The 14,826-nt window shown below is 33.6% G+C and overlaps 1 long non-coding RNA gene across 2 annotated transcripts in view; it reads right to left on the bottom strand.

The window, feature by feature from the left end:
- Positions 1-5,817: 5,817 nt before the first annotated feature.
- The window catches only part of LINC02820 (long intergenic non-protein coding RNA 2820), a 172,109-nt gene continuing 163,100 nt past the window's right edge, over positions 5,818-14,826 (bottom strand). For both annotated transcript variants that reach the window (NR_183553.1, NR_183554.1), the window contains one exon: positions 5,818-10,290. This is a non-coding gene — a long non-coding RNA (long intergenic non-protein coding RNA 2820). The remainder of the gene's footprint in view (positions 10,291-14,826) is intronic.

The following is a 14,826-nucleotide window of genomic DNA, read 5'->3' as shown; positions in this document are numbered from 1 at the left end:
AGGTATAGAAAAACTGAATAATGTACAACTCTCCAAGGAACAACTCTCTAAATTACCCATAACCATTTATAATTTACTTTGTTTGTAATAAGCCAATTATCACTACTATTTAATAAGTGAGACCATGTGCATAGAAAATATGTGACCATAAAATAGAATTTATAGAGTAAAAGAGTGTTAACATGCATGCAATGCTAATGAACATGTAATATAAGCAGAAAAAAGCACTGTTCAACCCAATGGGCTGAATACAAAGGGAAGATAGTTTAATTGAAATGAGAGCACTTTAGAAGAAGGTGGAGCAAGATGGCAAAATGGTACTCCCCAGCAATCATCCCCTGACAGAAACATCAATTTGAACAATTATTCATGCACAAATCTATCTTCACAAGGGCTAAGGAGACCAGCTGAGAGATGAAAGTACCTGAATATAGCACAATAATTTTTTTTAAATGCATTGAAGAGAGTAGAAAGACCAGTTTTACATTACCCACATTACCCATTACCCCACTTTCAAGCAGCACAGTGTGGAGAGAAATACCATCTGCTTAAGGGAAAGAGAAAAGTAAGCATAGGATTTTTCCTTGGAATCTAACATTGGGCCTGCCACAGTAAAACCCAGCATCAGGTGGATCTCCATGACCTCTGACTCCAGGTTGATACCAGTGGACTGAGCCAGATCTGTTCCAGTGCCATACAGGAACCCATAGTTCCTGCAAAATGGGCTCTATCTGCAGTTTTCATCACCACAGCCAACTATGAGAGACTTGGGTACCTGTAAAACCATAGCAATATGCAGGACGCAGCAGCTGTAGGCTTCAAGAACACCTTAGTACTGAGTCAGTCTCAGTGGCCATAAGATTCCAGCTCTGCCCCATGCTAGTCATGGTGGGTCTCAGCTTAGGGCACTCCATAGCATTGAAATAGCCACAGTGGTCCTTGGTATAGGGATCACACCAGATGATCTGCTCAGAATCTCTGAACATGTTTACTGTTGAAGGGCATTCTCAGACAAAGCCAGACTTCAAGACTGGAAGAAATACATACTTCTTCAAATCAGTAGACATCAAAAAATGTTTATAAGGATCAGAAACAATTGGGGAGACATGATATAACCAGGCAGATACAATAAAGTGCTAGGGGCTGACTCTAAAGAGATGGAGATGTATGAATGGTATGACAAAGAGGTCAAAATAACTGTTTAAAGGACATTCAATATATTTCAAGTAAATACAGAGAAATAATTCAAAGCAATGTGGAACAAGAAAAGTAAATGACCAGAATTAGAAATTTAACAGAGAGACTGAAATAGTAATAGTAATTTTTTAAAAAAAATTAAACAAATTCTGGAATTGAAATAATATTTGACAACCTTTCAAATATGCAGAAAAATATAAATGTCCAGATCAAGGAAGGTCAAAGGTCTTCAATCAGGCTAAATTCAAATAATACTAGCCTAAGCCATATTATAATCAAATTATCAAAACTAAAAAACAAAAAGGAAATTCTGAAGGGAGCCCAAGAAAAGAAGCAAATAACATATAAGAGAGTTTTAATACACCTAGCATCAGACTCTCAGAAGAAACATTACAGGCCAGAAAAGAGTGGGATAAAATATTAAAAGTGCTCAAAGAATGAGAACATGTCCTTTGCAGGGACATGGATGAAGCTGAAGCCATTATCCTTAGCAAATGAACACAGGAACAGAAAACCAAATACTGCATATTCTCACCTATAAGTGGAAGCTAAGTGATGAGAATACATGGACACATAGAGGGGAACAACACACACTGGGGCCTTTTGGAGGGTGGCGGATGGGAGGAGGTAGAATATCAGGAAAAATAACTAATGGGCACTAGGCTTAATACCTGGGTGATGAAATAATCTGTACAACAAATCCCCATGGCATGAGTTTATCTATGTAACAAACCTGCACTTGTACCCCTGAACTTAAAAGTTAAAAAAAAAAGAAGAGAACTACCAACCAAGCATATCGTACCCAGCAAAACTGTGCTTGAGAAATGAAGAAGAGGCAGGGCATGGTGGCTCATGCCTTTAATCCCAGCAATTTCAGAGGCTGAGATAGATTACCTGAGTCCAAGAGTTTGAGACAAGCCTGGATGACATGGAGAAACCTCATCTCTATAAAAAATAAAGTAAAATAAAAGATTAGCCAGGCATGGTGGTATATGTCTGTAGTCCCAGCTATTTGGGAGACCGAGATGGGAGGATTGCTTAAGCCCAGAAGGCAGAGGCTGCAATGAGCCATGACATCATCACAGGACTCCAGCCTGAGCAACAGAGCCACTCTGTCTCAAAAAAAAAGAAAAAAAAAAAAAGAAAGGGAAAAAAAGAAATGAAGAAGAGATAAATCAGATAAACAAAAGCTGAGGGATTTTATCACCACCAGACTTGTCCTATAATAAATGCCAAACAAAGTTCTTCAAGCTGAAGAAATAGCTTACTTACTAATGAGTAAGACAAAAATATCTGAAAGTATAAAACTAATTAGTAAAAGTAAGTACATAGTCCAATTTAGAATACTCTAATACTGTAAATGGTAGTGTGTAAATCACTTATAACTTTAACATAAATGATATTAAAAGACAAAACTAAAAATAATAACTACAGTAATTTGTTAAGAGATATACAATATAGAAAGATTACAATGGTAACATTAAAAATTTTAAATGTTAGGTGGACAGCTGAGGAAATGCATAGAGATTTTCATTGTGGGTGTTTGTTGGCAATCAAAGTTAAGTTATTATCAGCTTAAAATAATCTATTTTAACTATAAGATGTTTATTGTAAGCATCATAGTAACTACAAAGCAAAATCTATGGTAGATTTAAAAAATAAATGAAACACAAGAAATTAAAACATACCACAAAAGAAAAATCATTTAACCACAAATAGAGACAAACAGAAAGAAAAAAAGAAAAAAACAACAGATCTACAAAGCAAATAGAAAACAATTAACAAAATTACAGTCAGAAGTCCTAACCTATCAGTCATAACCTTGAATTTAAATGATGTAAATTCTCCTATCAAAAGATATATAATGGCTGAATGGATAGACAATCAAAACCAACTATGTGCTGCCTACAGAAACTGATGACTTAACTCTTCCAAAAAACTGAAGAGAAAGGAATACTTGAAAACCTACTTTATAAGGCCATAATTACCATAATATCAAAATCAGACAAAGATATAGCAAAAATAAAATGATAATTCACTATCCTTGCTGAATATAAATGCAAAAATCCTCAAAGAAATGCTAAAAAACTGAATTCGATAGCACATTAAAAAAGATTATTCACCAAGATCAAGTGAGATTCATCCCAGGGATCCAAGGAAGGCTCAACATACCCAAATCAAAAATCATGATACATCATATTAAGAGAATGAAGGGCAAAAACCACCATATGATCAGTTCAACAGATACACAGAAGCATTTGACAAAATTCAACATCCTTTCATGATAAAAACTCAACAAATTATGTTTTGAAGTAATGTATCTCAACATAATAAAGACCATGTATGGCAAAACCACAGCTAACATTCATAGTCAATTGGAAAAAAATGGAAAGATCTCATCTAAAATCTGGAACAAGACAAGGATGCTCACTCTTACCATTTCTATTCAACATAGTTTTGGAAGTCTTCGCCAGAGCATTTAGGCAAGAGAAAGAAATAAAAGGCATCCAAAATGGAAAGGAAGAAGCTAAATTATTCCTATTGGCAAATGACACTGTCTTACATTTATACCACCTTAAATATAAAACTCCACTGAAAACAAAATTGTTAGAACTAATAAATTCAATAAAGATGTAAAATACAAAATTAACATTCAAAAATCTATAGTGTTTCTGTGTATTAACAGCAAACTATCAGTAGCTACAAAAAAACACAAAAACTTAGTAATAAAGTTAACCAAGCAGGTGAAAAATATCTACATTGAAAACTATACAGCATTTATGAAAGAAATTGAAAATGACACAAATAAATGAAATAGTCATCCATGTTAATGGAGTAGAACTAATATTGTTAAAATGTCTATATTGCCCAAAGCAATCTACAGATTCAGTGCAATTTCCATCAAAATAGCAGAGGCATTTTTCACAAAAATAGTAAAAAAAATCCTAAAACTTATATGGAACCACAAAAGACTCTGAATCGCCAAAGCAATCTTGAGAAAAAAGAACAAAGCTAGCAGCACCACATTACTTGACTTCAAAACATACTATAAAGTTATAGTACATTCAACAGTACATTAAATTCAACAGAACATTAAAAAATATTATTCACCATGATCTAGTGAGATTCATCCCAGGGCTGCAAGGATGGCTCAAAACAGCATGGTAGTGATATAAAAAGACACATAGACCAATGAAACAGAATAGAAATCTTATAAATAAATTCATGTTTACACAGCCGATTATTTTCTCAAAAAGTTGCCAAGAACACTCAATGAGGAAAGAATAGTCTCTTCAATAAATGGCTCCAGGAAAATTGGATCTCCACATGCAGAAGAATCAAGTTAGACCCTTATCTGACACCATATACAAAATCAACTCAAAATGAATTTAAAATTTAAATATAAGACCTGAATCTATGAAACTACTAGAAGAAATGATAGGTGGAATGCTTCATGACATTGGTATGGGCAATAATTTTTTGGATCTGACCTTAAAAGCGGAGAAAACAAAAGCAAAAATAGAAAAATGAAATTATATCAAACAAAAATGTTTATTTAGCACAGGAAGGAAAACAATCAATAGAGTGGATAGAGTATCTACAGAATGGGAGAAAATATCTGCAAACTATATATCATATAAGGGGAATATCCTAAATATATTATAAAGTTGGTGACCCAATACCAGGAAAACAAATAATTAAAAGTGGACAAAAGACCTGAATGGACATTTCTAAAGCAAAGCTACACAAATGGCCAACACATATATGAGAAATGCTCAACATGCCTAAACATCAAGAAAATGCAAATCAAAACCATGATGAGGTATCACCTCATTATTGTTAGAAGGATTATTACTAAAAACTTAAAAAATGAGTATTAGGAAAGGATATGGAGAAAAGAGACATTTGCACACTGTTTGTGGAAATGTAAATTAGTACAGCCACTATGGAAAGCAGTATAGAAGTTCCTCAAAAAATTAAAACTAGAACTACAATATGATCTAGCAATACCACTATAGGGTATAAATCCAAAGGATATAAAATCAGTATGTAAAGAGACATCTACACTCCAGTGTTTATTTCAGCACTATTTACAATAGCCAAGATTTGGAGTCAATTTATGTGTCCATCAACAGATGAGTGGAAAAAGAAAATGTGGTAACACATGGAATAAAATTCAGCCATTAAAAGAAGGCAATTCAGTCATTTGTAACAATATGGATGAACCTGAAAGACAAGTGAAATAAGCCAGGCACAGAAACACAAATATCACATGAGCTCACTTATGTGTAGAATCTAAAAAAGTTGATCTCATAGAAACAGATAGTAGAATGGTGTTTACTAGAGGCTGTGGAAGTTGTACTGGACAGGGCCCAGGGGGAGAATTTGGTAAAAGGATACAAAATTGCAGGTAGATAGGAGAAAGAAATTCAAGAGGTCTGTTATACAGCATAATGACTATAGTATATGAAGATACACTGAAGAATGCAAACGTTAACTGTTCTCACAAGAAAAATAATAATTATGTGAGCTGATGTATATGTTAATTATCTAGATTTTATCATTCTACAATGTATATGTCCCATAAGGCATCATTTTTTACATAATAAATACATACAATTTTATCTATATTAAATAAATTTATTTGAAAAACAAGAGACACTTTTGGAACAAATTAAGAAAAAGAAGTTGTTGGAGAAAGAAATTTTGAACAATGTGGTAAATATGCATGAAAGATTTTTCTGCCTACTTAGAAGTGAAGAGATATGCAAAATTCAATAGCCCAATTATCATAGGAGCCATATCTACATTTGAAAGATCTTATTTCTGGCTATTTCCAGTACACACAAACTTATTCAATGCTAATTAGGAACAGAAATTAGAAAGGCAATTGACAGACAGACAGTACATTCTAGGTTATTGTAACAAAAATTCTATTTCTTAAGGAGAAATTTCAGAGATAAATCCCGGGCAATATGTAGAGAGCATGTTCTTTGTATCAACAATGGAGAGCTAAGCTTACAGCACAGGTTAGCGATAAGAGAAAATAAAGAAAATTTGTCAAAATAAGCTAAGGGTTCACCAGATAAGAAAGATGAAAAATGATCATTAAACCACTTAAAACTATTTACAATCTCTAAATTGTCATTTTAGTAGATTTTGCATGGCTGATTTCATTGTCTAGGTTTTATCTCAGTTCAACTTTAAGAGCCTTATCCACAATACATAATTAGCTATATGGCCTTAGCCAAATTGCTTTACCTATATGTGCTTCAGTTTGTTCATCTGTAAAATATTACTCAGTTTACCGGGACAAAAGCTGGCTCCCAAGGTGTGGTGAGGGTTTGGTAAGCTAATATTTGTAAAGCACTTAGAACAGCATCTGGCACAACATAAGCATTACATAAGCATGTGCTGTCATAATCTTTAAAACACTGGGTAAAAGGAATCCTTTGATTCATGCATGAATGCCTTAACAAATGTTATCAACCAGTATTTTGATTATTGATTAGGTGTTAGGCACCATATAAGATTCTGAGGATGAAGCAGTGCCAGATACAGTCCATGTAGTCAAAGACTTTACAGTCTAACGTGGATTAGAGAAACAACAAAGAAATGTCAATGTCATGTGAAAGCACAGTGCAATATATAAAATGGATATAGTGATAATACCTACTTTCTAAAATCGGCATGAAGTTTCAATATAATTCATGAACATATTTTAGTACAGTAATTAGCATAGAGTAAGGACATAATGAAAGTTAGCTCTTACTCTTGTGTTGTAGTCTTTTCTGTTTATTTCTTTTATGCTTGTTTTTTTTACTAGCTCATGAGATTCCCTCCAGAAAAAAAAATCTTATCCTCCATGAACATTTAACATTTTTTGAATAGTATATGCTTGATATTCTTAATACTGAATATGTGAAGATTAATAATACAAGGTTCTTGCTCTCAAGAGACAAACTTGCATATTTTAAGTTACAACATAATATGATAAACACAGTTACAGTGCTATAAGCAATAAACTCTAGAAATGCAGAGAATGGGGCAACTTTCCCTGAGGAAACAAGAGGTTTCCAAGGACTTATTACCTCATCCAGATCTTAAAATGAAGGAAGGTTTTTACAGCGAAAGAGTGATATTGAATGAACCACGTAATGAAAGAATATGATTAATCTAGAGGTTTTAGGAAAGGCAATAGTAAGGAAAAATAATAAACAGGAGGGCAGACATGTGGGTTGGCCCCACATGGGGAACCAAGCTCTGGAGTAAGTTGGGGAACCAAGCCCTGGAGTAAGTTGTACTTCAAGGTAAAAAATTTAGATTGTGTGCAGAGAGCAATGTGAAGCATTGGAGCAATGTCCTTGACTTTACTTGCTTTTTTTCATCCCCTTTTTGCTTAAGCATCCATGGATTATAATCTTCATACAGTAAGCTTTGTTTTAAAGAGGACTCTGAAGGATCATGGTTGGTTCAAGCGTCGTATCGGCTGATGCCTGGAACTGACTTTAATCCCCAGTATTGTGCTTTAGAAACACTATATGCTCTATACACATTTATGGAGCCAAATTGAAAGTGTGAGCTTAATCTGAAACAGTTTCTTACTGCACTCACATAAAAAATATTTTTGGTAGAACAGTCCGGACTTGAATATATTTAAACCTGTGTCCTAACAATAGACTCCTCTTATCCCACAACTTTCTAAGAAGGTCAAACCTTTTACTGTCACAAGAAAGATTGATTGTGATCTGGAAAAACTGGGAATGAATTTTCTCCATGGCATATGAGCACCTCCCGTCAGAAATTGTGCTTATTGCAATAAAGTATTAATGGTTAAAAATGTTTTGGTCTCTTTCTGTTAATTTTATTATCATAGAAAAAAGAAATTGAGTATCCAATTGTTGAAGCTGCAAGAGTTAGGATATGTTGTCATAAGTTTCTATTTATATTCTGGAAGCCAAAAGTGTAATTGGTTCCTCATCAATCATCAAACTAGAAAAATAGGAGACTGGAAAATTGAGATTCTAAATTTAAAAAGTGGAGTTTTCTTCTTCATTACAACTATCCTATGAATTTTTCCTAAAATCTTTTCTCAGTCATCTATAAGTGAGTTTATTATTCAGTCTTGCATGATCACACTGTTATTTGTAATCCATTATTTGGCCAGTATGGGTCTGAATTTTGTAATGGGTGTGCCTTAGTATACAGTAATTAAATTATGATTAAGTCAATTTAGATGACTATCTCCTAGTGTTTATGTCCAATTTTGAAAGCATTAACAGTATTAGTCATAGTACATGTTAGGCACACCAAATTGCCTAATGAGGTATCTCTATTAATACAGAAAAATTGAAAACTGTAATTTAGTAAAATTCAATCCTAGCAAAATACATAAATCAAGTCATAATCTCTCCAAATGGAGACTACTTTTTACACTATATATATTTTTTCCCTAGAGTTATATGTTTCAGGTACCACTGCTTATTCCTACTTTCTATGATCTAAATTACCCTAGACTAAATTCCAATCCCTAATGCACTGAGCTTATTCATCCACATGTTTGGGATGGGCAAGAGAGAAGCAAAGGTCCAGTTCCTGAAACTTTCTATTTAATTAGAGAGTATCTCATTGTCTATTTTCTAAATTAATGGGTTCTTATTTTTTTGCCATTGTGTATAAAATACAGAGGCAAAACATACTTTCTCTTTACACATAATTCATATTCAACTGGGAGATTTTATAATTGTCACAAGAGGTGTCCCTCTGTGCCCAATAAGCCATGACAATTTAAAAACATTTTTAAAAAGATATAGGTAGTATATATTTATGTATTAACACAGTTTATTATTTTTAAATGTGTTAGCATTTAAGAATGGAATCCCCTAATAAAAAAGTGCTTTTTGTTAATATTGTCCTCTGACTTTCCAATGCAATTGTATCTGATCATGTCCATTTAGAGCTGTAGCCTTTATTACATTTAATTTTCACCAGCCCCCAATGAAATGAAATAAAGGCATTCATTGTCTCTTTTTTTCTCTGATTGGCCAGGAAAAACACTATTTTATACTGTGATTTATAATTCATGTCATCAAGTGGCCAGATATGCAAGCTAAACAATATTTTTAAAATATATACTTTATACTTACACGAGAATAAACTGTGAAGGAGATCAGGGAAAATACAGATCATTTTTCAACTCTAAAGGAAATAAAACTGGAGCTTATGTCACATTCTCCAAATGATAATAGACTGATGTCCAGTCATTTGTCTCCTCAGGGCTACTTTAAAGACTTTTGTAGAAAAAAAGAAACATGTTTCTCTGGGCATAAGCACTTTTTAAAATTTATGTTCACCTATTTCCTTGATAACCATATTTAATTGTACTGTATTAACAGAGATTTTCAGCAGATTTTTCAGGCATTGGTATTTCGTTATACACAAGTAAGAAATGCAAGAGTTCTCATTTAAAAATATATACATAATGGCAGCTTGAATTTTAGTACAGGCTTTTCAGAATAATACAACCAACAGTACATATAAACTATGAAAGAAAAATTACTAATTTACTTACAATGAATACCACATAAAGGATGTCTTTATTCTAACTAAAATGATGATGTAAGATGAACAGTTCCTAAAGAACTGAAATTATCCTAACAGAACCTCATTCCATATCTGGACAAGTGTATACTACTATTTACATAAAATACTTCAATTAAAATCCTGCATTTGTCAGCTCTGATTTTAAACCTCTCAAATGTGGAATACTGGCTTTTCAAGAATCCAACAAGAAAAAAAGATGCTGTATATTTTATCTACAGAGTATTTTGTTTGTTTGTTTGTTTAGCTCAAAATTAGGTAGTATCACCTAGCAGGCACAGGTGCCTCTAAATAAACTCTCCTTTCATCATCCTCAAAAGCAATCTCATAGAAGCAAGTCATATTTAAGGACATGATCGATGGCTCAGAAACTGCAGGCAAAATAGCTTTGCCCTGAGGTTTGATGAGGATCTCGCCCCAGTGGAAATTATAGGCTGTTACATTACCAGAGAAACAGGTGCCCCAGATACTTCAATTCCCTTCCAGTTCCCACTGTGGAAAGAGGAGAGGAAGTAGAAGGTTAAACAGGCACACAGAAGCAGAACTGATCAGTAATAATGGCTCACTTTTTCCTCATGAAAGAATTACTCATTCCACTGCTGTTTCTTAGTATATTTGGAGTTCGATAACAGGTTTTTACCGTCTTTTATGCTGCAGTAAGCTTATATCTTTATCTCTTAAAATATCTACTGTTTAAAATTTGTACTAGTTTTAGGAAATAATGCATAGTTATGTTTCTATAATGTGCTAACACTGCCTTGTTAATGTTTCTCACATGCCTCATTCATTTTCCTAAATCCTGGGCAAAATCCCCAAAAGGAAATGTCAATTGCTTATACTGTTTCTTCTTTAATAATTTTCCAACACTGAGAATCTCAATAACCTGATTGAAAAAAAAACTTTCTCAAAAGTATAGCATAACATTTGGAAGAGTCAGTAAAAATGCAATGTTTTCTAGAAATTTAAATTTCTATTTTTCATTGCCTTTCAAAAGTAATATCACTAGATTTATAATTAAGTTTTGTGAAAAAAATGCCTGAAGTGTCCCAAAATGAAATTTACCAAAAATCTACTCCTCAAAGGAGAAGGAAAAATAAAGAGGTAAAGGAGGGGTATTTTAGACTATTTTACATATTAGGAACAGCTGAAATATTTTTAAACCACTATTCTTATCCTTCACAGATTTTATGCACAGCACACACAAGTTGAAAGGAGAAGAATTGAGAGTTTCAGAGAGAAAAGGAGTAGTACAACTAACTGTCTCTAAGAATTCCCTTAAGGTCACAATAAAAGAAACATGCATATCTTTTAGGACTTTTAGAATTATTTTAGGCCAACAACCATGGAAACTTTAGGTGAGAAATGGAAAGACAAAAGAGAAGTCTCCTTGTCCTAAAATGATGGCTCCCAAGGAAGGAAGATGATGGAACATTTTGATCACACACACCCTTTTTCTTCTAATTTTCATTTTCTCAGGGAGGAAATAACTTGAGTGGCATGAAGGGTACACATCAGAGAGTATCACAGACCTGAAACAACTAGAGGATGTGCAACTGTATAGCTATTCTTGGTCCTAGCACGAACAAGGTCCTTTGCTGCATCAGTGGGAGTGAACAGATCATTCTGAAAAAGCTTGTATAGAGTTACATTATCTTGAAGTTTTTGCAGGGGGTTTCAGACTCATAGGCCCTCTACAGTCTCTCTTACTTTATTTACTCTTACTCTTCAAGTAGTACTTGGGAGTATCTTATTTGAAGATGCTCTTTAAAAGTTAGGAGGTGCCAAGGTAAGGTTCAAAGGATAAACACAGCTCTTCAGGTCTGACTCTTGTGTGAACTTTTGATGTAAGATGATAAAAAAATTGTGGGGTTGATTGAGGAGTTAGTGCTACTTATTCTTTTAAAAAAACTGTAAGTCATACCTTTAGTTATACTTATACACACTTATATATAAGCAATACTTATAACATGTATTTGATGTCTGCTTAATAACCTATGATATAGGTACATTATTATTATTCTCATTTCACAGGTGAAGAAAAAGAAGTATAAAGACATTAAATAAGTTTTTTAAGGGGTTACAACTAGTAGGTAGCTGAGCCAAGATGCAAACCCAGACTGGATCCCACTGTAGCATTCTTGGACATTATGCTACTGGAAGGATAATACCCCTATGTTAAAAGACAATTAATAAATTATTGCTATATAATCAAGCAATTTTCCAGGAATTTGGGATTTCCTTGTTGCCTATCCCCTATCAATGAGGTAGGAAACTTGAGTTAAATTTGGTATAAGTGCACAAACAAGGAAAAGAGTTTACGCATATTACATATTACATAGTTTTTACCTTTGCTATATTTCTTAGAAACCTAAAATTCAAAGAAGCAATTTATATAAATTTGAAATTTCTTGTTTTTAGTTAAATTCTGATTGTATTAATATTTTCCAGTGAGTCCTAATGCCATAATATACCCTATGCAAAAAAAGAGGGTTTACTTTTGTCAAGCAAATTTTGGGAACTGGTAGGAACTCCATTCACCTTTTGGAGCTTCTCAGGACATCTCAAATGTTAAAGGCTCTATGAGATCCTGCGGTGAGGTTTAGTGTTGTTCACTTCATCATTTCCCAGACTTCTTTGAGCAAGCGTTCTTTGGTTGTCTATGTAGCTGTTGTTTCTTAGATACCCCTATTCAAGTTTTGTGTAGCTACTTGTTCAGTGGAACACTCCATAGTAAATTCTGGATTGCTCAAATTAAAGTGGGGAATGAGGACAGCCATTTTACTCCTCTCACATTCTACAAAGAGTTGGAATCTCACAGATTTTCTCACTGTATGAAAGCACATGCAGTCTCTGGAATTGGGCAGAGTTTCCATGGTAAATTATTTCTTTCAAGCCTCTTTAAAGAAGGTATTCGGCATCTCCTTTGTTGACATTAAACAATATCACTTTCCAATTTCTATGCAACAGCAGTTTACTGTTGTCAGTTTAGAGTTATTTTGCATTATAAATGTTTCTCTGGTTCCTGTTCACTTTTAATAGAGAATTTTAGTCTTTATTAAACACACTTGTGTAATGTGTTTTAATTATAACATTCAATTTAATTTTGATGGCTTCAAATTATATTGAAAAGGCAAGAAAAGAACTTTGCATTTTTTATGTTTCTTTTTAGCTGGCTGGCTGATTGGTTCAGTATTAATTGATACTTTAGCCAAACAGAATAAATACTAACAAGCTCTTTCTGTTGTCAAACAGCTGTTATGATGATGGCTTAACTACTAATGGCAGATTTTCTACCATCAAATACAGACTCATTATACTTTGTACCATTAACAAATGCTTGTCAATATCAAATTATCTTAGATCTCTGAACATGTTGTGCTTAATCATTATTCTGATATTTCAGACAAGCAGATTATTTTTAAAATTGGCAGTGGTGTCAAACAGCAAGTTCATTATCTTAGAAAAATAATTATATCAGCACTATAGAAGGTCATTTGTTAACTTTCTGTCTAGAGAGATAAACATTTGTAAGATCCCAAACCAGCAGATCAAGATTTTTAGTTTTAATGTGTGACCTATAAATCCCACTGAGTAGCTCCACCTCATCCTTTTTTTTCTTTCTTATTATTATTCTTAACTTTACACATTGGAGGTTCTAGACTCTTCAGGTTCTTGCAAGAATGACAGTTTGGTTCTTCTATTAAGGGTCTTATCTCACAGTACAGGAACTAAATCTCATGTCATTTCCCATATTTACATTGTATTATCAAGAGAGTTTGGGAAGAGGATGGAAAGTGTGATCGATGTAAATGAACAACCATTATTTCAAGTGATATTTTTTCTTCTCTATTAAAAAAATGACGGTTAGAAGTAAAGCAGTTGAAAATATAAATTTTTATATGCTTTTCTAAGATATTCAATCCAATAGCATTTCCTTTCTTGTAAGTATTGTCGTTAAAAGTGTAGCTACACAGATGGCTATTAAGATGGCAGAAATGAATGAGACTTCCACTTGAGAATACTTGTGTTTGAAGGATTAACACAAGGCAAAGGAATAATGGAAGAGTTAATGTTTTGTCCTCTTAGGAAAGCAAATAGATGACTAAATATTATGAATACTTCAAGGCAAGGGATGTATGGACAGCATAGATTCCTTAAGAAGTCTATTACAGTACCTCAATGAATTTTGGATAATAGATTAATAAAGTTTAGGACCTAGAACTTAGGATAACTTAAAAAACATTTATAGGGTAAATATCTATGGATGGAAAAAAAAGAGAGTTTCATTCTGAATCATTTTTGTTCCAATCTAAAGTGCTAACATAACCAGTTTTTCTGCCAATGTAAAACATATATTTTATTCTCCTTCTCCTCCTTTAGTTGTAATTACTTCCTTCTTCCATCGAGTTTAGTAATGAAAAGAGCATTACTTTTGGAGACAGACAGACCAAATATTTTCTTACACTTCAGTATTGGGCTCTAAGCAGAGCGTTAAGACAGACAAAATTGAGGTTTGTAAGCTTTTGTTTGACTCTCATTTCCCATCCTAATGCACCTCTCTGCTTCCCTCTCCCCAGTCACCTCTTATGTAGACTTTCCTTCATCATACAAGAATTAAGAAACTCAGTCTCTCTGTTTCAAGAGCCTCCCTAACCTAAAGAGAGGGAAAAATGGTGTTTTTTTAGTATACTTGAGGCTACGGGCTCAGCTCAGCACTGCCATGACAGCCTCTCCTGCAAATACGTTTCCTACCACCAGTAGACAAAATCATAAGTATTTCTAACTGGGTGAGTTAAATTCACCTTTTAAAAGTAAATTATCACAAAGTTCTATATGATAAGAGACTAGCAGAACTGTTCTTGATCCAGTTGCTCTCTGCTCTGTGTTTCCAGAGCCAAAAAAATTTCCTTGTTTCAGCTTTCTTACTGAGTATATTCACTCATCCAATCCTTTCCATTCTTTCCAGGTGGAGATTCTTTCTATGTGGACTCTTCTCATGTGGGCGTATCTGGACATCAAGTGTCCCCA

Source organism: Homo sapiens, chromosome 12 (assembly GCF_000001405.40).
Source record: "Homo sapiens chromosome 12, GRCh38.p14 Primary Assembly".
Lineage (NCBI taxonomy): Eukaryota > Metazoa > Chordata > Mammalia > Primates > Hominidae > Homo > Homo sapiens.
This window is presented reverse-complemented; position numbering and strand designations above follow the sequence as displayed.